Raw genomic sequence first — 22,898 nt, forward strand, 5'->3', positions numbered from 1 at the left:
GCACCTGTAATCCCAGCTACTCAGGAGGCTGAGGCAAGAGAATTGCTTGAACCTGGGAGGCGGAGGTTGCAGTGAGCCAAGATCAGGGCACTGCACTCCAGCCTGGGCGCAGAGTAAGACAAGAAGAAAGAGAAAGGAAGGGAGGAAGGAAGGGAGGGAGGGAGGGAGGGAGGGAAACAGACAGACAGAACAAGGGGTCAGAAATGACCCAGACAGAAGGGCAAGTAGCTGACTGGAAGGAAGATAAAACACAAGAGAGATCCCAGAAATGTTCTAAGAAACAGGTCCCCAACTGAACACTCTCACAGTCACTTTAAAAATAAAACAGCCCAAACATAGAATAGGTCTATGGCCAAAGCCTGGTCTTCCTAGTCCCTCCTCACAGAGATGTAAACTGCCCATGAAAACAAAACGTGTACAAGTTCCGTGCATATGAACGTACAAGAAAAAAAAAAAAGACGGGCAGGACGGACCTCCAAATGGAGTCATGTGTCTCTCTGCATTTTTCCACATTAAAAAGTGCCTGGAGGGATGCACACCCAAATGGTAGCATCAGATTATGTCTGGGGGTGGGGTCTGGGGTGACCTTTTGAAATACTTTTCTATCTTCTGAATGTTTTATATGGCATATAGGTAATATTCATAATCTTGAAAAATAATGCTACTTCCATTATAGAAAAAAAGGCCTTTGCAAGCTGTTAGAGATGAATTGGCACTAAGAATACATTTGCAGTGAGGATGGGGAATGCCAGTCAGAAAACAGCCACCTGAACCAAAAAGGCAATCCCCGAGCTCCATCGGGTTTTGAAGCACCACATTCCACCTCCCCCGCCATTGTCTAGGTGGCTGCCAAGCGCTACTTGAGGAAGTGATAAGCATCACTGTCTGTCACACATTTATCCTTTAGGGATGAAACATCAAGGGAGAAGATACTAAAGCCCAACTAGCATCACAGCAGACTCATAAGCTATTATTACACTTCGTGTACAAGTCATCTCCACAAATGAATCCACTTTCCATGTCCAGAAAAAAAAAATCCAAAAACTATTGAAAATATTGTAAGTTTCCATCAAGTTTGACCCTTAAAATTTTTCTCAGTCAGAATTAAAGCCAATGAAACTAAAATTTTCTTGTATGAATGTCTTTTAAATGTTCCCTAATCACTTGACTTTTGTTCTTTTTACCCTACTTTTCACAAAGGTCAAAAGTAACTTGAAAACAGCACTATTCATAAATTTCTCCAACTCCCGAATCCACTCCCAAATATTGACTTTTGTTGATTTTGAATGATCCTACATTCTTTGATGTGGTCACTTGAAAATAATAAGGCCTATCTAAAAACAGACTGCTAAACAGACACATAGCCACGAATGGATTAAAAAGCAAAGTTGTTTTCCTTGAGGGATTTGTCAAAGCACCAAAGGTGGTCAGGAGTCTGAACTTCCAAGCAGCAGCCTTACTGAAAATCAGCACCTGCTACTAAGCCTCCAACTCCGAGGAGTGCTTCACTTCAGCAAATGGCTTTCACTTCACTCTCTTGCTTGAGCTATATGACCTTATGAGACAGATATCATCATTTCAAAGATGAGGAGACAGAGGTTCAGAAAGTACAAAAAAATGGTCTAAGCAGGTATGCTCAATACATCATTGGCAGAGCAGGGATTTAAACAGGTCTTCTCACTCTGAACCCCACAATATCATTTCTAAACCAGAATGTCATGAATTGAAAGATGGATATATCCAATTAATCAGAAGACACTTTTCATTCAAAGTTTACGGGAACCCCCCACCCCGCCAAAATGCTCACCTTGTATAATAAGCTTACATCCCCCAAAAATGAGTGCAAAAGGCTGATGTAATTTTAAGCAATATCACTTTAAAAACTGTAGAATCAGAATCAATTTAGAAGATTGAGGAAGGATTCCTTTGATTACATAAAGATTGCAGACATCCTATTCCAGAGCTGTTTCCTCTGCAATATATGAAAATATGGGGCTCAAGGGGATGGGGGTGAACCTTTCTATTCAAATTATGCCAATAAACTAGGATGGGAGATGGAAAGAAGAGGGAGCATGCTAAGCAATTTGGGCTTTTGTCCCAGCTTAGTCACTTAACAGTTGTGTAACTTTCAGCCTGTCATTTAGGTTCAGTTGGCCTCCATTTTCTAATTTATAAAAATGGAAGTAATACCACCTACCTCACAGGACCTCTGTGAAGAGTAACACAATCATGGATGAAGCTCACACTAGTATAAAGTATTAATTATCATTACTTCTGCCAACAGGCCAGTTCCTGATTCATCCTCAGTGCTTACTGAATTCCTATTGAGAGGTGACAGCATGCTGGCAGTCCTCAGAGCCCTCGCCTGCTCTCGGCACCTCCTCTGCCTGGGCTCCCACTTTGGTGGCACTTGAGGAGCCCTTCAGCCCACCGCTGCACTGTGGGAGCCCCTTTCTGGGCTGGCCAAGGCCAGAGCCGGCTCCCTCAGCTTGCAGGGAGGTGTGGAGGGACAGGCGCAAGGGGGAACCGGGGCTGCGCACTGCGCTTGCGGGCCAGCTGGAGTTCCAGGTGGGCGTGGGCTTGGAGGGCCCCGCACTCCGAGCAGCCGGCGGGCCTCCCGGCCCGGGCAGTGAGGGGCTTAGCACCTGGGCCAGTGGCTGCGGAGGGTGTACTGGGTCCCCCAGCAGTCCCGGCCCACTGGCGCTGCCCTCGATTTCTCACTGGGCCTTAGCTTTCCCGCGGGGCAGGGCTCCGGACCTGCAGCCCGCCATGCCTGAGCCTCCCACCCCTCCATGGGCTCCTGTGCGGCCCGAGCCTCCCCGACGAGCGCCGCCCCCTACTCCATAGCACCCAGTCCTATCAACCACCCAAGGGCTGAGGAGTGCGAATGCATGGCGCAGGACTGGCAGGCAGCTCCACCTGCAGCCCCGGTGCGGGATCCACTGGGTGAAGCCAGCTGGGCTTCTGAGTCTGGTGGGGCCTTGGAGAACCTTTATGTCTAGCGCAGGGATTGTAAATACACCAATTGGCACTCTGTATCTCGTTCAAGGTTTGTAAACACACCAATCAGCACCCTGTGTCTACCTCAGGGTTTGTGAGTGCACCAATCCACACTCTGTATTCTAGCTGCTCTGGTGGGGCCTTGGAGAACCTTTATGTCTAGCTCAGGGATTGTAAATACACCAATCAGCACTCTGTATCTAGCTCAAGGTTTGTAAACACACCAATCAGCACCCTGTGTCTAGCTCAGGGTTTGTGAGTACACCAATCGACACTCTGTATCTAGCTGCTCTGGTGAGGCCTTGGAGAACCTGTGTGTCTATACTCTGTATCTAACTAATCTGATGGGGAGGTGGAGAACCTTTGTGTCTAGCTCAGGGATTGTAAACGCACCAATCAGCGCCCTGTCAAAACAGACCACTCAGCTCTACCAATCAGCAGGACGTGGGTGGGGCCAGATAAGAGAATAAAAGCAGGCTGCCCAAACCAGCAGTGGCAACCCGTTCCCGTCCCCTTCTGCACTGTAGAAGGTTTGTTCTTTCGCTCTTTGCAATAAATCTTGCTACTGCTCACTCTTTGGGTCCACACTGCTTTTATGAGCTGTAACACTCACCCCTAAGATCTGCAGCTTCACTCCTGAAGCCAGCGAGACCATGAGCCCACCGGGAGGAAGGAACAACTCCAGATGCGCCGCCTTAAGAGCTGTAACACTCACTACGAAGGACTGCAGCTTCCCTCCTGAGCCAGCGAGACTATGAACCCACCAGAAGGAAGAAACTCCGAACACATCCAAACATCAGAAGGAAAAAACTCCAGACAGGCCACCTTAAAAGCTGTAACACTCACCGCAAGGGTCCACGGCTTCATTCTTGAAGTCAGTGAGACCAAGAACCCACCAATTCCGGACACACTGTAACACCACTTTTCCTATCCTAGAAGTTTCCTAAGACCACCCACTTGATAAAAACTACAAGAAGCCAGGCTCAGTGGCTCATGCCTATAATCCCAGCACTTTGGGAGGGCAAGGCAGGAGGATCGCTTGAGCCCATGAGTTGGAGAACAGCCTGGGCTATGTGGAGAAACCCTGTTTCTACAAAAAATTAGCCGGGGATGATGGTGTGTGCCTGTGGCCCCAGCTGCTCAGGAGGCTAAGGTGGGAGGATGGATTGAGAGCCTGGGAGGTCAAGGCTGTAGCACTGATTGCACCACTGCATGCCAGCTTGAGCAACAGAATGAGACCCTGTCTCAAAACACACACACACACATGCACACGCACACACATGCAAGAAATTCACTCTTGCATTTCTTGCATTTAAGACCTTCAAAGTCATACACAAGTAGATTCTCATAAGAATGGCTTTATGACTCTCTCTCAACACTTTCTCCATCAATGCTGCTTTAATTTTTATAATGCACTAAAGGCCGAATGTTTTCTTTTGTTGTTTGTGTTTTCAGGGGAAGTCTGTGTTCTATTCTTCCTGGCAGACCAATCCCATACCCCGGTGACTCCACCTCAAGTAACACCGGAAACCACAGGATGAACCTATGTGACATGGAGAAAAGGGAGATTTTGTCTGTTTGTCAGTTTCTGTCCATGCAGAATCAGAAACTTTCCTAGAAGGGACCCCACCACCCACAGAGGGAAGCACATGGTGGCCCTAGCTGACATCTGTGAGGCTAGATGTCAGAGCAAGGACAAGAAAGCAGGAGACCCAGGTTCCAGTCTTAGCACCACAGCCTCCTGGTTGGGGCTTCTTTGTGTACAAACCAATGGAGGCTGGGCGAGATAGCCAGACCTCTGGATTTCAAAAGCCAATACGTGTTTTGTTTTTGTTGTTGTTTTTTTTTTTTTTTTAAGTCTGGGAATTGATTTAGGGTTATTCACACTTTCAATTTTTCCAAGTAAGAATATTAAGAACAAAAAGTACCATAATTCCACTAAAATAGCTAAAATGTAAAGACAGAATCAACTACTGATACACACAACAGCATGGATGAAATTCAAAAGCTTTTTTTTTTTTTTTTTGAGACATGATCTCACTCTGTCACCCAGGCTGGAGTACAGTGGTGCAATCTCAGTTTGATGTAACCTCTGTCTCCTGGGCTCAAGCAATCCTCCCACCTCAGTCTCCTGAGAAGCTGAGACTACAGGTGTGCACCACCATGCCCAGCTAATTTTTTTCATATTTTTTTGGAGACAGGGTTTCGCCATGTTGCCCAGGCTGGTCTCGAACTCCCAGACTCGAGCAATCTGCCTGCCTCAGCCTCCCAAAGTGCTGGGATTACAGGCGTGAGCCACCACATCCAGCCTCAAAAACTTTTTTGTAAGTAACAGAAGTCTGTTGTGAAAGGCCATATAATTCTACCTATAGAACATTCTAGAAAAAGCAGAACTATAAATAGGAAACCAATCAGCAGTTGCCAGTTGCAGAGGGGTCAGCGAGGAGATTGATCATAAAGGGGGTAACGAGGGAACCTGCTGGCAGGGCGGAATTGTGAGTACAGTGGTGGTTACTCGACTCTATATATTTGTCAAAACTCAGTGAACTTTACACTTAAAAGGAGTTAAATTTTATTGTATGCAAATTATACTCTAATAAACCTCAATTTAAAAAAAATGCAATCAATATTCTACCATATTCTACGATAAAAAGGAAGAATATTTTAACCATCCAAAAGCAAAGCAACATAATTTTTGAAAAAAAGAGTAGTCGTTTATTTTAAATAAAGTTGTCTTTGGGAATAATTCCCTCCTTGTTTTTCTCATTTCACTCTGGACTGGGGAAAAACTTCATCAGGTAGTGACTAAGGCAGGTCTGGGTTTTGAAACCACAGGCTGGGTCATCCTTAAAGCCTTTTTCAGCTCTACAGTTCTATGCATCTGGCTATCCTGTAGTTCTTACTAAAATGAGTTTGAATTATAGCACCATTTTACCTAATATTTGTTCCAGGGAACACAATGTTATTTTTTTCCCACCCTGAACACGATTTTACGTAAGAGTTTTTAAAAGGCAAAATTCCAAGCAGCTGTAGGGAAAGTATTCTCTATAGTCTACTGTAAAGGGATCTGATCTGCTGAGAATAAAGAAGAAACACGGTGAAGAGGAGGCTTGGCATATATTCCTAATAACCATGATGCAAATTAAGCAGCAGTACTATAGTTAACTAGATATCAAGTTTATATTCACTTTGAGCCCATCCTTGTTTTCACTATTTAACTTCTGCTTAAGCAGCCTTGAATTTGGTAATGCTGTCACTGAATAATAAGGTCTGTTCACAGTGTTAAAATTATTATTCCCTAGTTGATCATGCTAGCTAGGATATAAATGAGTGGTAATAGCACTTTCATCTCCATTTCTCAAATAAGAAATCCTCCAGGCCTAAACTTCTAAATTATTATTTATTTTGATTCTAATATTAATAGATTAGTCAGTATTCCTGAAGCTAACCAGAGAATATATCAGGAAATCAAACTCTGCTTCCAAGAATCTTCAAATTCTTTTTTTTTTTTTAACTACCATTAGGAAGGCTTTAATTTTTCTTCTCTACAATGATTCATCAAAATATTAATGTACTTAAAGTTGGTTCCCCTACCTCAATTCCCACTCCCAAAATAAATTCCAGATGAATCAGTGATTTAAATATAATAATTAACCTATAAACTCCTTGAAAACAGTGAAGAATATTTTCATAATTTTGGACCAGAGATGCCCTTTCTAAATATGATACAAAACCAAAAGCCAAAAATAAAAATACTCATAAACTTGACTGCAAAAACTTAAATATTCTACAAAGCAAAAATTTTATTCAAACTCAAAATACAAATTGTCTACTAGGAGAAAATATCAACAGTACAAATGACAGGCCAAAAAAAATCCTTTGTACACAAAGAGCTACTGCAAATCAAGAGGAAAAAATGAGCTTAATAGAAAAACAAGTGAAGGATATAAATTGGCAGTTTGCATTATTTTTAAGAATGGCCAATAAACATTTGAAGACATACTTGGCCCCAGTCATGATTTTAGACATGAAAATAAAAATAATGAGGTATCCAATTTTGATCTGTGAGAATGAAGAAACCTGAATGTTAGTAACGCCCGTTAATGAGAGGGGGAAACAAACTCTTACAGAACTGGTGGGAGTACAAATAACGGCAACCGTTGTAGAAGACAATTTAGCAACGTCTATGAAAATTTCAAAGACATATTCTAAGATCTAGCAATTCCACTGGTATAAATTCATCCTACAGATAGACACCTAGAGGTATAAGAATATATATGCACAAAGACGTCACACATTACAGCATTATATGTGACAACAACAATAAGGAAACAACTCTAAATTTCCATTAGTAGAAGACTTAAATAAAGCACTGACATCCATTCCCAAAAACACCATCTGGCCAACCAAAAAGGAGTGCAAGTAAATCCATGTGCCTAATACAAAAAGATCTCCAAAATATATTAAGTAAAAAAAAAAAAAAAAAAAGGAGAAAACAGTATGCATGTGATCCCCATTTGTATAAAAACATGTATTTACGTAGATACAGTTATATATACATACACATACCAAGATATACTAAATTTACTAGAAAGATATTCAAGAACTGTTAAGAACAACTATCTCTAATGAGCACATAGGGCAATAGGTGGGGATAAGTCCTTCTACTCTTATCCTCTTCTGTTCTGGTTTATAAAAAGTAAAGACACATATAAAAAGACAAAAACAAACTGCACTTCCTAGATGTATATAAAGTACCAATTAAGTGTTGAGAACTCCTACTATAATTCTTGGAAAATAAAGAAGGCCAATTGGGGGAAAATGCTTTAGAATGAGGGCTGTACCTACAGTTCCTGAAGATTCGGCTTAGGGCAAGTTAAGCGAGGCATTACAGGTAAGTGCCACTATCCTAAGCAAGTTAAGGAAAAGGGGATGTTTCTTTAAAAAAAAAAAAAAAAAGCATTATGAAGAAATTATTTTAGTTTGTATTTGGAGGCAGAACAGCCAGGTGTATCTAAGTAAGACATTTCACATGGCCCTGACCCAGAAAGCAGGCAGGTTTTAGCAGATGGAATCATCAGAAGTTTGAAGAATGGATCTTTCTACAGGATGCATGGAATACAGAAAAAGATAGCAGTTGGATACACTAACTATATTTGAACTAATGATAGAAAGGAGTAGCCCTTGGAACATTAATTTTAACAAATATTTATTGCCCTAGATAAATGCATTTTGAAATTGTTTCCTGTATTTTAATGAATGTAAATCCTCCACAATAATCCATGAAAATGCCCACCTCCTACCTCCTGCACACCTAACACAAGATCTCACAAGGTCCCCAGGAGAGAATAAATCATACTTGGATGCCAAATTACCCGAGAACATTTTGATACACTAGGAATGCAGAAGCTCCTTGCAAAGTACATAAGCAATTCAGGGTCTAGGTTTTATTTAAGGATCGGTGATGGCTACTAGATTTACGAACTGTAAATCTGACAACTCCATCTCCACAATGAAATCATCCACTAGAGCTTCTCAATAGACCAATTAACAGCTGCCTAAATTGACAACAGAATGCAAAAGTGTCTTTCCAGATTCGGTTCCCATAGTGTCTGCGTGCCTGCGTATTCTACCTACAAGAAAATCTTACTACATTTCTCCTGGCTTTAAATTTATGTGCAGCAGGACAAGTAGGAATTCCACTGCAGTGGGCAACTTAAAAAATAACATGAAAAACACCTTCCCCGAAGAAACAAATAATGGGGCTGAAAGCCAGGCTGGTTATTCGAATGCCTCCTTCCTTTCTCACGGTGACTTACCTTAGAATTCATTTCCATGTGGTATTTGGCACAAGCTCGAAGCTGAGTCACCCAGAATTGTTTCTCTTTTGCATCAGCAGCTAAAATAGAGAAAACAGAGAAAGAAATGATTGCAGAGATTGTTCCAAAACACATCCAACTTATTTCTACACCCACCTAAGGGGGTGGGGAGCCTGGGGAGTGAGAGGTAGCAAGAAGGTGGGGAAGCAAGCACAGATCACAACGTTCTCAAGCGGCCTGTACTTACACCAAAACAGAGACTGCACTGAATCCCACGGAAAATCCTCTCTTGAGCCATATGAAAAATGGATTCTGAAATACCCGTTATAAGAATAATTTTGCCATTTTTTAGCCTCCTCTGAAAAAAGTCATTTCTATAATACTTATTTAAAAAGAAAGCAGGCAAGGAACCACATGCTTATTTTCAAATGCCTCTAACCTTGTGTAGCTAATATGAGTATCAAATGGCACTTTTTTTTTTTTTTTTTTGAGACGGAGTCTCGCTCTGTCGCCCAGGCTGATGTGCAGTGGCGCCAACTCAGCTCACTGCACACTCTGCCTCCTGGGTTCATACCATTCTTCTGCCTCAGCCTCCTCCGTAGCTGGGACTACAGGCACCCGCTACCATGCCCGGCTATTTTTTTTGTATTTTTTAGTAGAGATGGGGTTTCACTGTGTTAGCCAGGATGGTCTCAATCTCCTGACCTCATGATCCACCCGCCTTGGTCTACCAAAGTGATGGTATTACAGGCTGAGCCACTGCACCCGGCCTCAAAGGGCAGTTTTTCAGGGCCTTTTGCTATCTACCAGGGCTGTATTGTGGTGTTATTAACATTTACAAAATAAGCATTCAGTTGAATTACCATTTTAGTATGCTCTCAAAGATTCATACGATTGCAAAGAGCAAGATACCAAATGCTGCCTTAGAGAGCCTCAAATTTCCCCCAAAGAGATATTAAAGTGCAAGTAGTCATGTTGTATAGTTATGTCCTTCCATCTATAACCTATCTCTCAAATAATATATATGAAGTTATTCTCAAATATCATGGGCACACAACAGGTTCTAATGAAATCTAAATCATCAATTTAATCACATAAATAACTGCATAAATATAATAATACTAGCTGCATAAATGTTGACTATGAAAAAAAAAAACAACGATTCCCTGGAAATTATATCTGTTTACAAAACTGGGCCTAAGTGTCATTTGTCCATAAAACCTGACTTCAGCTTGAACTTTCAGGAGAAGAAATCTAGAGTTACCAAATGGGAAATTCGTTGCTTAGTCCTATTTAAGGCATGAAGATGGCCCCTACAAATCCCAAATGATTTGTCTGTCAAAAGGCCTGTTACACAAGTCTGATTTACAGTGTGTACCAGGTGTAATGAACTTCCAAAGACAAAGGACTTTGCAGAAATTAGGGCCTTTTTCCTTAGTAAACTTGAAGAATTGCCAGTTTGTGGCAATACTATCCAAAGGCTTTGCATCAAAAATACTCCCAAAAGCTGTGCGTCTCATGATACCATGATCCAACTCCTACTATGTGCAGGTAAGATGTGAAATGAGACACCAACAGCCAGTTGCTTGTGGGACGGGCTAAGGACAAGCCATAAACATGCAGAAATTTATCCTGACTTTTTTTTATAGTTACGCTTTAGCTAAATTTAGCAATTGTGATTATTCCATGCAGATCATAAAACCTCTATATTTGCTATTAAAATTGCCCTCTAAAAAAAACCTAGGGCTTAATAATCCAAAGGATATTAATGATTCAATGGCAAAACAAGATGGCTCAATTGTCAAATTAGTTGGATATTTCTTTTGTATGGGTTTGTATCATTTTATAAACCACAGGCAGGGTGGAAAGTGCCATTACGTTTTTCGTCTGCTATTGTTTCTGCACTGACAATTTATTAAGCAATAAATGGCAAAGCGAAGCCAAGGACCATATAAATCTAGCCAGCTGGAATGCACACTGCATGAATCTCAAGAGAACATGAATCTTATCACATTCCTGAAAGTTTTTTATCAACTATAGACATTTTTACTTCCGAGGTTTTTGGATTGTTTTATAGATTCTGAAATATGACTTGTATATAGATAATAAACATTAGCTTATTCCATCTCTTGGGTAGTGAAGCTTGGCAGAAGAATGGTGAAAACTGGGCTGAGAGGTGAGGAATGTAGTCCCTCAGTCTGACTTTGCAGAGGCAACTGATCATGGTCACGAACAGATAGCAAGCAGCCGTTTCTTCATACTTAGCTCTTAGTCAAAAGAAAATGTTACATTAAAAAAGGCAGAATTTTCAACCACCTCTCAATACTTAATACATACTACTTTTCCTCAGGACTTGATAAATAATATAGACTCTGCGTGTCCATGTGTGTGTGTGTGTGTGTGTGTGTGTGTGTGTGCATGCACTTGTGGGCATTTAGATTTGTTGTTTCATTTCATTATTTTATTAGAAGAAAAGTGGCAGAAGAATCACAGCAATGCAACCATGACAGATCCTGGTAGAATGATCTAGCAATCAAATTACACTGCAATTTTATTACAAGTCTGACATTTCTGTGCGATGGATGTGTCTTGAGGGTGAATACTGGACTCCCTGGAAAGTCATCCTCATTTCCGGGATGCTGGGCAGGTATCCATTTTCTTTTTTTTCTTTATTAAAGCAAAGATATCCATTTTCAAGAAGCAAAGAGAAGGGAAGAAAGCATACAAAGGGACATTAACTCCATTCCAGTTGGCTTCTCACCAGGCTCTACGACAGTGGATTGAACAAAACTCAAAGGGGCACTTTACTAAGAAACGGTTCTAGAGAAACTTTGGGGGGAAAACACTAGGACCCTTAAAGGTCTTTTTTTGCCCTTATAGCACAGCCCTCACAGGGCACTGTAGTGAAGATTCATACTATTACGTCAAAGAGAATATACTGAGCTAACACTTAAGATCTTCGAAGTCCTAAGGCGCGCTGCTTTGGGAATCACTCACCTTTCCTTTGTCCTTAATTCCTCAGTTAATTAGGACAAGTAATTCCTAATGTCAGCTCCATCTCCCCACCCCAGGGATAAGAGAGGCAATGTGTGTCACCACAGAGTCCTCCAAACACAGCAAACTGTCAAAGGCAATTTAAAAAAACAAAAAATCAAAAAACAAGAGAGCCATCACCATAGCAACTAGAGGCCTGTCTGAAAAGTTACTGGGAGAAGAACGCACCTCTCAGTTTAAACATCTCTCCATTAGCAGAGTACACCACCAGCATGTGGGGAGCTTCATCGCTCAGGGACACTATGGCTCCAGATAAAGACAGGACTCCTCGAGGCTTCTGGTGTTTGCTTTGCTCATTCACAAAATACTGCAGGATGCCAGCCTCGAAATCCAGTACGAAGTACCTGCACAGAGAAACCACAGTACATCATTTTTCTCTCCTACCCTATTCTGCACAGCAAAGCAGAAAAAAGCAAAGTGATCCAGAAGTCAACATCAAGACTCCACATCCATGAAGCTGGAAACCAAAAGTCCCTCCCAGATGCCCATAGAAGTTAGCCTGAGTAGGGAGAGAGCACTGGATTCTTAAATCAGAGTGGCGCTCATAATGGGGCACTTGTGGGCAAGGGCCAGGACCACTCAGGATTTGGTGCCATGCCCACACTTCACCCAGTACCCATGGATACCACATTAAACCTCAGAATGACAGAGACTGGCAGAAGCATTGCAACACAGCCTCTTGCAACATGCTCCACATGAATTCACAGGAACAGTTGAAATTCACAAGGCCTCCAGGAGAGGTAGTTTCACACCCAGAGAGCAGCAGCAAGCTTGGTCTCCAACTTCCTGCCAGTGGCATGGGTACCATAAGGAGCCTGAGCACCTGGCAGCATCTGTCAGGGAACTGGAGGTGCTTCTGCAACCATCTGGACACGCTCTAGCAGGCCCATTCACACGAAGGCAAGGAATCCCCCTGCTCTGGGACGTTGAAATGCCACTGAACTCTACATCCATGGTAAAAGAAGAAGAACTCCAATTTGCTTAAATCACACAATGAATCTTTGTAGCCAAATATCTGGCCTGTTAATTTTCTCAAGCTATTACCTAGGAAGTAGTCAAGACAATTTCCCCTTCTCCACCAGGAGGGAAATGTCTTCACCTGAGCCTCAGATTCTTACTGTGGCCTTGAGGCCCGCCCCTGCTGACTTTTCTACCTTCTCACTTCATCTTCCACTGACACTAGTCTTTTCTCTCTTCCTTCATAGTCACCAAGTTGCCTCCTGCCACAGGACCTTTGCACATGCTGTTCTTGCTGTCTGGAGCAGTTACTCAAAGTGTGGTCTGCAAATTTTGACGGTCTACAAACTGTTACCAGTCCACCACACCCTTTTGAAACATTTCCTGCATTTGGCTTTGTTTCAATATCCAAATGCATAGATCAGTTGGACAAGTCTCAACAGTTCAGAAGTTGTCAAACACACGTGGTCCACACAAGCTACATACTAGTCATGAACCAATGACAGTGCAATTGGCAGATGGAGTGAAGCAGGTCCTTCACCATAGATAGTTTGAAAAACACTTGCCCAGAATGCTACTCCCCCTGCCTGGAATATGGTTCCTACCCCTTCTTGCCGTGTCAAGTTCTCCTGACCGGGTCAAATATTCTTTCTTGCAGCACTTTGAAATGCTCCCTCATGGTACTGGCCCCATTTGAAGTCTACATTTGTGTGATTATCTGATTCAATGACTGGTTTCCCCACTAGACTACACTCTGCGGAAGTGGAAAGTGTTTTCCTCCCCACAGCGCCCAGCAGTGTGCCTGATAGTTCATTGCTACTCAGTTAGCACTTGTGCAAGGAATGAATAAAGAAAAAAACCTACTAAATCCCACGTTTCTCCATCCATGCATCAAAGCACCCGGGTCATACAGTGAACTGATAGAGGCAATGCAACATATTTTACATTTTTTGAGGGATACATGGCGAGACTCAACATACCGTCTGTACTACCAACTCAGGGACTTTTCACAGTTTTAACATTATATTGCACTACACTCCTTTTGATGCCATCATATTTTTGCAAAGAGTTTCAGCAGGTGCTACGATTTAAAAAAAAACATCAACGTAGAACAGGAAAAGAGAACAGCAATGTCCAGTATGATTCCAAGGTTTGAGAAGCTGTGCAGTACCCACAGGTACACACATCCCATTAATAAGTAATTGTGGTTATTTAAGAAACTAAAATATTTTTCTTTCAATTGATATTATTTTTTCAAATAGCTACTGAGTTGTTTAGACATAAATATGTATGAGGTTGTTTGGAACTAACCACTTAAAAAATGAATCTGTTAGATACTTATTTTAACCTAGAAGCACCAACAACCAGCAAAGTTCACAAACCTCTAAATTATTCTCACAATAACCCAACAGAATAGATGTTATCCCCACATTATACGTATCCTGAGACTTGAAGGAATTTAAAATCCAAGTTCAACTCTTCTGTGTCCAAAGTTCAGGCTCGGGTCCACTCCAGCAAACTGAAACTCCTTGATTCTCACTCAAGTCCTTCCTTGTAACTTCTCCATATCACTTCTCCAGGACCTATTTACATACTTCATTCTCCAAATCTCCCTGTTCCAACAGAGATAATGAAGCTGAAAGCTCCTTTGCCTGGCAGTAGAGGTCCCTACTTATGGCCCCGGCAAGGGAGCAAGTCGCAGCCATCTCATTAGCACATGACTGCCCGGGTGGCAGTCCTCCAAAGCTCCAATTCCTCTAAGAAATCGTCCACTTTGAATTATTTTTAATATTTCAGATGGTCTGGCCAAGACTACTATCTATTTTACTCTTCTTCCCTCTCATCTCTCAAGTCATTCTAATAACGGTATTTCTGGTTCTCATGAACAGCGTGGATAAACGAAGACGCAAAAATGTGTCAGAACCAGGGCTATTCAAAGTGTGATCCCCAAGCCGGCAGTAACAACATTGCCTGGGATCTTGTTAGAAATGGAAAATCTTGGGCCCCACCCAAGCCCTGCTGAATCAGAAACTGTTTTAACAAGCTTCCAGGTAATCTGCTGCAGGTGAAGTGTGAAAATCACTGGCGTAAACTACCATCAACAAATCCCTTTCCTCCTCTTCCAGAGAAGCCACATCCAGAACACATTTCTCAGCCTTCCCAGCACTTAGGGTGTGGCTTTTTGAGCTTTAGCCAATAGAATGTGAGCAGAAGTGTGCACACACGCACACACACACACACACGCACTGGAATGGAGACAACCTACAGCACAACTTGGGAGAGCCTGGGTCCCTGAAACACCACCTGGAAGAGCATCACCTGCTGAGCAACACCCACATCAGACCACTATATTAATAAGAAAGAAACTTTAACTAGGCCACGGGGATCAGTATCTGTTATAGCAGCTGCTAGCCTTACATTAACAAAGACATAAAAAACCCTTTTTATTTGTATTTTCAGATCCTTCTACTTGAAATTTGCCCCTATTCTTTAATGTGGGGCAAAAACCAAACTCCCTCAATGAGAGAAGAACCAGGGTAACTTCTGAGCAGCAAATGGTCAAATTATTTAAGTGCTGACTGCCTTGAGGAGTGTCTTCCACTTGACCTATATTTAATGTCATTCTGACTGCGGCTGTGCAGACAATGCTCATGGCAAGTTAGAACATGAACAATCATCCTTTCAAGCTGAGGAAGGAGACTAGGTAGGCTCACACTACAGCACGTTGTGCCATGTGTGCCCCCCTACACACACCTGCAGACACAGCACTGCAGCATCCCCTTTGACAAGCATGCCACTCTTTTTTTTTTTTTTGAGATGGAGTCTCGCTTCTTTGCCCAGGCTAGAGTGCAATGGCACGATCTCAGCTCACTGCAACCTCCACTTCCCAGGTTCAAGTGATTTTCCTGCCTCAGCCTCCCCAAGTAGCTGGGATTACAGACACCACCACGCCCAGCTAATTTTTTTTGTATTTTTAGTAGAGATGGGGTTTCCCCATGTTGGCCAGTCTAGTCTCAAACTCCTGACCTCAGGTGATCTGCCCACCTCAGCCTCCCATAGTGCTGGGATTACAGGCATGAGCCTGTTTTTTTTTTGTTGTTTTTTTTTTTTGAGATGAGTCTTGCTCTGTTAGGCAGGACTGCAATGGTGTGATCTTGGCTTACTGCAACCTCCACCTCCCGGGTTCAAGTGATTCTCCTGCCTCAGCCTCCCGAGTAGCTGAGATTACAGGCGCTTGCCACTATGCCCAGCTAATTTTTGCATTTTCAGTAGAGACAGGGTTTCGCCATGTTGGCCAGGCAGGTCCTGACTTCAGGTGATCCACCCGCCTCGGCCTCCCCACGTGCTGGAATTACAGGCATGAGCCACCGTGCCTGGCCACATGCCACTCTTACACAAAGGTAAGTAGAAAAGGAAGGGGATAAACTTTCAATGAAAAGGCAAAGTAACATGTCCTCAGTTTCCCCATCTACTCTATGCCATTGACTGGAATGAAGCAAAGGCTTAACTTTTCTCTCCTTACCGCTCCTACCAACTTATCCACAGAGAACCTGCCAGCTTGCCAGCTTTTCTCTCTCCTAGAGGCAGCTTCCCAAATGCATCCTGTTCAAACAAATAACTATATAATTGAAGAGGACATTATTTAGGAGCTGGTATAAAGAAATGAATTGAACGCTGTTTTATTTTTTCAGTAAGTATGACAGAATAACCAACTGATGTCACATTATATAGAATATAGGGACACATTAATGATTTTTCACATTAACTATTTCAAACTGACATCTTTAACTTTCTGCCTCAGATGAAAAAAAAGAACATGTTTCCACTGCTTTCTAAAATAGTTTCAATGCAAATGCACAGGTTTGAATCATGTGTACTAAGGAGAGTTATCAATAATTTACTCCTCTTCTAAAGACAGTTAAAATTTTTATATTTGGAAGGGACTGATGGGACACTATCTGATTAAAAATTCCAACAGACTAGAAAAAAATTGCAACAGACTCAACAAGTGTTCTTTCAGCATGGCCTCTGACAGTTAAGTCAGCTTGTGTCATATATGGATAAGCACTGTCCATATAGCATTAAGAATTCCTGTGGGTCACATTCCCTGGTAGGAAAGAAATTAAATTTGGTTTCCCACAGGGTCATGGCTTTGTCAGGTACTGCTGTTAGGAGCACGCAGCTATATCTCAAAGTCACAGCTTTCATTCTAAATGGAAAAGTAAACCGTATTTCTGGATCGGGCTTCATTAAACCAAGTGAAATTGTCAGATAAAATCCTGAAACATTCTTAAAGATCTTCCCTTCTAGAGAACAGAATAAGGCAAATCTAATTCCTACGTTCTGGGGTTTATTAATTAACTTCTTGAAGCTACAGTGTGCAACTTGACTGCTGTGTTGGTGAACTTAATTGTACCCAGAGAGAACATACTTTCTTTGCTATGTTAAAAATAACATCAATAAAAGAGGAAAAAAAAATCAAAGCATGTGCTGCAGGGAGAAAGGGAAAATGAGGGAAGAAAGCGAACAAACCCATGAGGAAAGCCATCTTAATTCTCACCAGGCTAGCTTCTTGGTGAAACCCTTGCTCAATCCCAAAGCTGGGAGATAGGGCAAGTGTAGGCCCCTTCCTGGGAAGGGCTGAGGACAAGCCATTGCCTACTAACATCCTTCAGATATATCCATTGTTTCCAAAAGAAGCACAAATGCACACATATATACCCTCATATACACTTATATATGTGACACACTCACACTGATGCCCACAAACATACATGCATCTCACACACACTATACATATAAACACACTCACACAGGTACTTGCATTCATGCTTACACATGTTCACACTCACATACTCACAAACTCATGCACACTTGCACAACTGGAGGCACCAAGAGTGTGACACACTCACACATTCATAACCACCCATGCACTCACCCTTGAAGGTGCATTTGCATATTCACACTCACCTGCACATGTTCTCACTCGTTCACACCCACACACTGCACTGCCCTTACCCACTCACTGTGCCTTGCCAGTCTTGCATCTCTGAGACATCATCTGTCTGCACAGGTACCCATTTCATTGCTGCCTCTACACCCCCATCTACCCGACATAGTTTCATTAAGGTTCAACTTTAGGATCTAAAAGCTGACAAAAGCATACATGTTTCCTTTGTCGGGGAAGGAACTGGGCCTAGGATTTCACCAACAACCCTTAGCCAAACCCCAGGCAAGAAGAGAAATAGAAAGGAGAGGCCAGGTGCAGTGGCTCATGCCTATAATCCCAGCACTTTGGGAGTCTGAGATGGGTGCATCACCTGAGGTCAGGAGTTCAAGATCAGCCTGGCCAACATGGTGAAACCCCATCTCTACTAAAAATACAAAAAAAAAAAAAAAAATTAGCCTGGCATGGTGGCAGGTGCCTGTAATCCTAGCTACTTGAGAGGCTGAGGCAGGAGAATCGCTTGAACCCAGGATGCGGAGGTTGCAGTAAGCCAAGGTCACACCATTGCACTCCAGCCTGGGAAACAAGAGCGAAACTCCATCTCAAAAAAAAAAAAAAAAAAAGAAAGAAAGAAAGAAAGGAGAAGGAGATGGGGGGTGGGGGGCTGCAGTGGGAAACAGCTCACTCATGCTGACAGCCAGAAGTTAGAGCCAAACTACAAGAGAATTACAAACATGCATGAAAAAAATCTTTCTTTGAAGCACTCTGCTAGACAGGCTGGTTCTAACAAAAAGCAAAATCATTTCATCTAAATTTAAAAGTGAAAATTAAAACAACAAGCATAAAGGGCCCAAGAAGGGGAGGTTATGGCCCTCTCTTTAATGACTGAGCAGCATACCTTACATAGCCACATTACTGCTATTACCAAGAGGGGCTCAGGCTCCTCTTAGTCCTGGTGAGGATCAGTCCCTCACTGCCACACAAGATGGTCAAGTCCAGGGCCATGAAGGCCCCTTACCTACCCAGGCCCACCTTCTGCCACGTGAAAGAGGAATGAGCACCAAGCTCCTAGCTGACCGCAGCTTCATGGAGAGGGTGGACCTCCCTGCTGAGATCTGCCTCGCCTTCCTCAGGCCTCTATCTTCTGAGACGCATCTGCTCCAAACTGCTGGACTGCATGAACGGGGCCTGTGAACAGACTTCTGCACCCTGTCTCGTCCTGACCAATGGCAACTATGCCATGTTCTTCAGCTTAAGACCCTTCTCCTGGCCGGATGCGGTGGATCACGCCTGTAATCCCAGCACTTTGGGAGGCTGAGGCGGGCGGATCACGAGGTCAGGAGTTCGAGACCAGCCTGGCCAATATGGTGAAACCTCGTCTCTACTAAAAATACAAAAATTAGCTGGGCATGGTGGCATGCACCTGTACTCCCAGCTACTCGGGAGGCTGAGGCAGAAGAATCGCTGGAACCCAGGAGGCAGGGCTGCAGTGAGCCGAGGTCATGCCACTGCACTCCAGCCTGGGTGACAGAGTGAGACTCCATCTCAAAAAAAAAAAAGAAAACCCTTCTCCATGTGGGATAGTTACTACCTGACTCTTCCAGAGTTGCAGTCAACAGACACCCCCACGAACACACTAATGGCAGAGACTGAGACCCTCCCTACCCTCAGCATCTCCCCACCCCCACATGGTTCCCACTAAAAGATTTGCCTGGTACAAGGTCCAAGCTGGAAGGAGCAGTTCTTTCCAGCAATGTACACACTGATTCTTGAGGTTTCAGTAGCCTTCCAGGTCCCTCCTGTGCACAAACATCTAAAGCTTCACCATCTCTGAGATCAACAAGTACCTTGTTTATAAAACTTCCAATCTACTACTTACAGAAAAACTCAGGAAAAGTCAGCAAAATAAAGCACACTCAGTATGTGAAGTGGGGGGCCAAACTATGGATGCATTTTCCCGAGTGTCCCATATGTTTTTAAAATTAATATCATCTGGTAATCATTTGTTGAACCCTTCTCATCTCCAGAGATCAACAGACTAAAGTCAGCAAAAAGTTTCCTCCTTGGAGCTACCAGTGTCACATAGGAGGTATCTACACATCTCCAGGTGGGGCTGTAATGCCTTAATCATTGCGGTGAAGGAAAGAAAGCATAATATATAACCCCAAAATATGCTCAACCTAGAGGGTAGAAAGAAAAGAAACTTTCTTCCTTCCCTATAGTAGTCTTGTCATCTTAGAAGAGTTTATACTCAAAAACCTTAAGAGGTTTAGAAGAAAATAGTAAGTTTTCTAGAATTTCTCTCATGATAACCAAACTTCCTGGAAGTAAGACACTGGATCCTACAGCCAAAACCTTACAACAGGTTCCAAGGCACAGCACCTGCAGGCAAACTCAATCCCAACCAAACTTTAAAATCTGGAATCTTCTTAACTCTTGGAATTTGTGGCAATGACTAGAGAAATGCAGTGGTCTTCTTACATCTCTCAGCTACTTGTCTGTGACCAGAGTCCCACCACTGCCACCATCACCATCCTCCCAAACCACCAAGATGTAGAGATTCCAACACACCCCAGGTGGTACTAAATTGTCAGAGGGTCCTCAGGCTCATCACCAAGCCAGGAACAAATATAGTCTATTACATAAGAATTATATTAGAACACACTACCAGACTTCAAAAGATACTACAAAGCTGTAGTATCCAAAACAGCATGGTACTGGCACAAAAAAGAGACACATAAACCAATGGAACAGAATAGAGAACTCAGAAATTAATTCCTGTATCTACAGCCAACTGATTTTTGACAAAGGCACCAAAAACATACATCGAGGAAAGCTCAGTCTCTTCAGTAAATGGTGCGGGGACAACTGGATATCCATATGCAGAAGAAAGAGACATCTCTTATCCTATACAAAAATCAACTCAAAATGAATGAAAGACCTAAATGTAAGACCTGAAAACTACAAAACTACTAGAAGAAAACAAAAGGGAAATGCTGCAGGACCTTGGTCTGGGAAAAGATTTTATAAATTAGTGAGACCTCAAAAGCACAGGAAGCCAAAGCAAAAATAAACAAATGTGATCACATCAAGCTATAAAAGCTTCTGTGCAACAAAGGAAACAACAGAGTGAAAAGACAATCTACAGAATGGGGGAAAATATTTGCAAACTATTCATCTAACAAGAGATTAATATCCAGTATATACAAGAAACTCAAACAACAGCGAAAAAAAACCACAAATAATGGGCTGGGCACAGTGGCTCACGCCCGTAATCCCAGCACTTTGGGAGGCTGAGGTGGGCAGATCACCTGAGGTCAGGAGTTCAAGACCAGCCTGGCCAACATGGTGAAACCCCATCTCTACTAAAAATATAAAAAAAATTAGCCAGGCCTGGTGGTGCATGCCTATAATCCCAGCTACTTGGGAAGCTGAGGCAGGAGAATCACTCGAACCTGAGAGGTGGAGGTTGCAGTGAGCCGAGATCACGTCACTGCACTCCAGCCTGGGTGACAGAGTGAGACTCCATCTCAGGAAAAAATAATAATAATAATAATAATCTGCTTTAAAAATAATCTGATTTTAAATTCATCATTTAAAAATGATCTGAAGATATTTCTCAAAGGATATACAAATGTCCAACAAATATATGAAAAAATGCTCAACATCACTAATCATTAGGAAAATGCAAATCAAAATCACAATGAGGAATCATCTAACCCCAGCTCGCATGGCTATTATCAAAAAGACAAAAAATAACAAATGCTGGTGAAGATACAAAGAAAAGGGAACTCTTATACACTATTGGTGGGAACGTAAACCAGTATAGCAATTATGGAAAACAGTATGAATACTCTTCAAAGAACTACAGGTACAGCTACCATATGATCCAGCAATCCACTACTGGGATTTATGCAAAGGAAAGGAAATCAGTGTATTGAAGAGACATCTGCACCCCCACGTTTAGTGCAGCACTATTCACAATAGCCAAGATGTGGAATCAAGCTGGGTGTCCAACAACAGATGAACGGATAAAGAAAATGTGGTCTATATACACAATGAAACATTATTCAGCCTTAAAAAAGAATGAAACCCTGTCATTCTCAGCAACACAGATGGAACTGAAGGACACTATGTTAAGTGAAATAAGCAAGGAACAGAAATTTAACCACCACATATTCTCTCACTCATGTATGGAAACTTAAAAAAAAAAAATTGACCTCCTAGAAATAAAAAGTAGAATAGAGGATACTAGGGGCTGGGAAGGGTTGGGGGAAGGGAGGGATAGAAGGAGATTTGTTAAAGGATACAAACTTATAGCTAGACGGGAGGATTTCTAGCATTCTATAGCACAATACAATGATGCTAATGAATAATATATAGCTTCAAATAGCTCGGAGGAGGATATTGCATGTTCCCAGCACAAAGAAATGATAAATGTTTGAGATGATGGATATGCTAATTACCCTGATATGATCATGGTATGTTGTATGTCTCAAAACATCACTATGTAGCCCATAAATATGTACAATTATGTGTCAATTTAAAACTTAATAAAAATAATGTTTCTTAAAGTTTGGTCCAGTTGCTCTCTGCTTCTCAATCAGTTGAAAAGCTTGTTGAAAATGTGGATTCTGACTCTCAACCTACACCTAGAGGATCTTTGTGAAGGTCAGGAAGTCGGAAATGTGAATTTCAAGAAGTTTTCCAAGTGATTCAGAAGCACCCTCAAGTACAAAAAACAGTGCAAAATCAGAGTCAAAATAAAACCTTCCGTTATTCATCACCCTGTTTTCCATCTGGTATGCCAAGCATTTCTCTCAATCATTCATTCAAACACCTGAGCACCCACACACCCATATAACCAAGATGAATGTTATTTAAGCATTAGCCAACCTCATTTTGTCTTAGTCAAAAACAGCCAAACCCCAGCTTTCCTAAATCACAGCAGCCCAGACAGTGGATTTCTTGGTTTTGTCACTCTGGAAGTGTTTTTGAGAAAGGTTTAAAGACATTGTTTGAAATCACCTGGCATCGAGTTCCTGCATAATGGGATCATCACCTGGCATTATGAAGGTGCTCACTTGAGCAGAGGGGCTCCAGGGGCCAGGCTGAGTGAA

At 42.3% G+C, this 22,898-nt stretch overlaps 1 protein-coding gene across 15 annotated transcripts in view; it reads right to left on the reverse strand.

Annotated features, from left to right (window-relative positions):
- The window catches only part of OSBPL10 (oxysterol binding protein like 10), a 416,868-nt gene that overhangs the window by 206,789 nt on the left and 187,181 nt on the right, over window positions 1-22,898 (reverse strand). For 11 of the 15 annotated variants that reach the window (XM_047447390.1, XM_047447386.1, NM_001174060.2 and 8 more), the window contains 2 exons: window positions 12,042-12,217; window positions 8,820-8,899 (listed from right to left, as the gene is read on the reverse strand). In XM_047447390.1, the coding sequence (XP_047303346.1) occupies window positions 8,820-8,899; window positions 12,042-12,217 (256 nt within the window). Of the gene's footprint in view, window positions 1-8,819; window positions 8,900-9,066; window positions 9,282-11,816; window positions 11,941-12,041; window positions 12,218-22,898 lie in introns of those variants that run through there. The other 4 variants (XM_047447394.1, XM_047447393.1, XM_047447392.1 and 1 more) reach the window with 3 other exon arrangements.

The sequence above is a fragment of the Homo sapiens genome, chromosome 3 (genome assembly GCF_000001405.40).
Source record: "Homo sapiens chromosome 3, GRCh38.p14 Primary Assembly".
NCBI classification, from domain to species: Eukaryota; Metazoa; Chordata; class Mammalia; order Primates; family Hominidae; genus Homo; species Homo sapiens.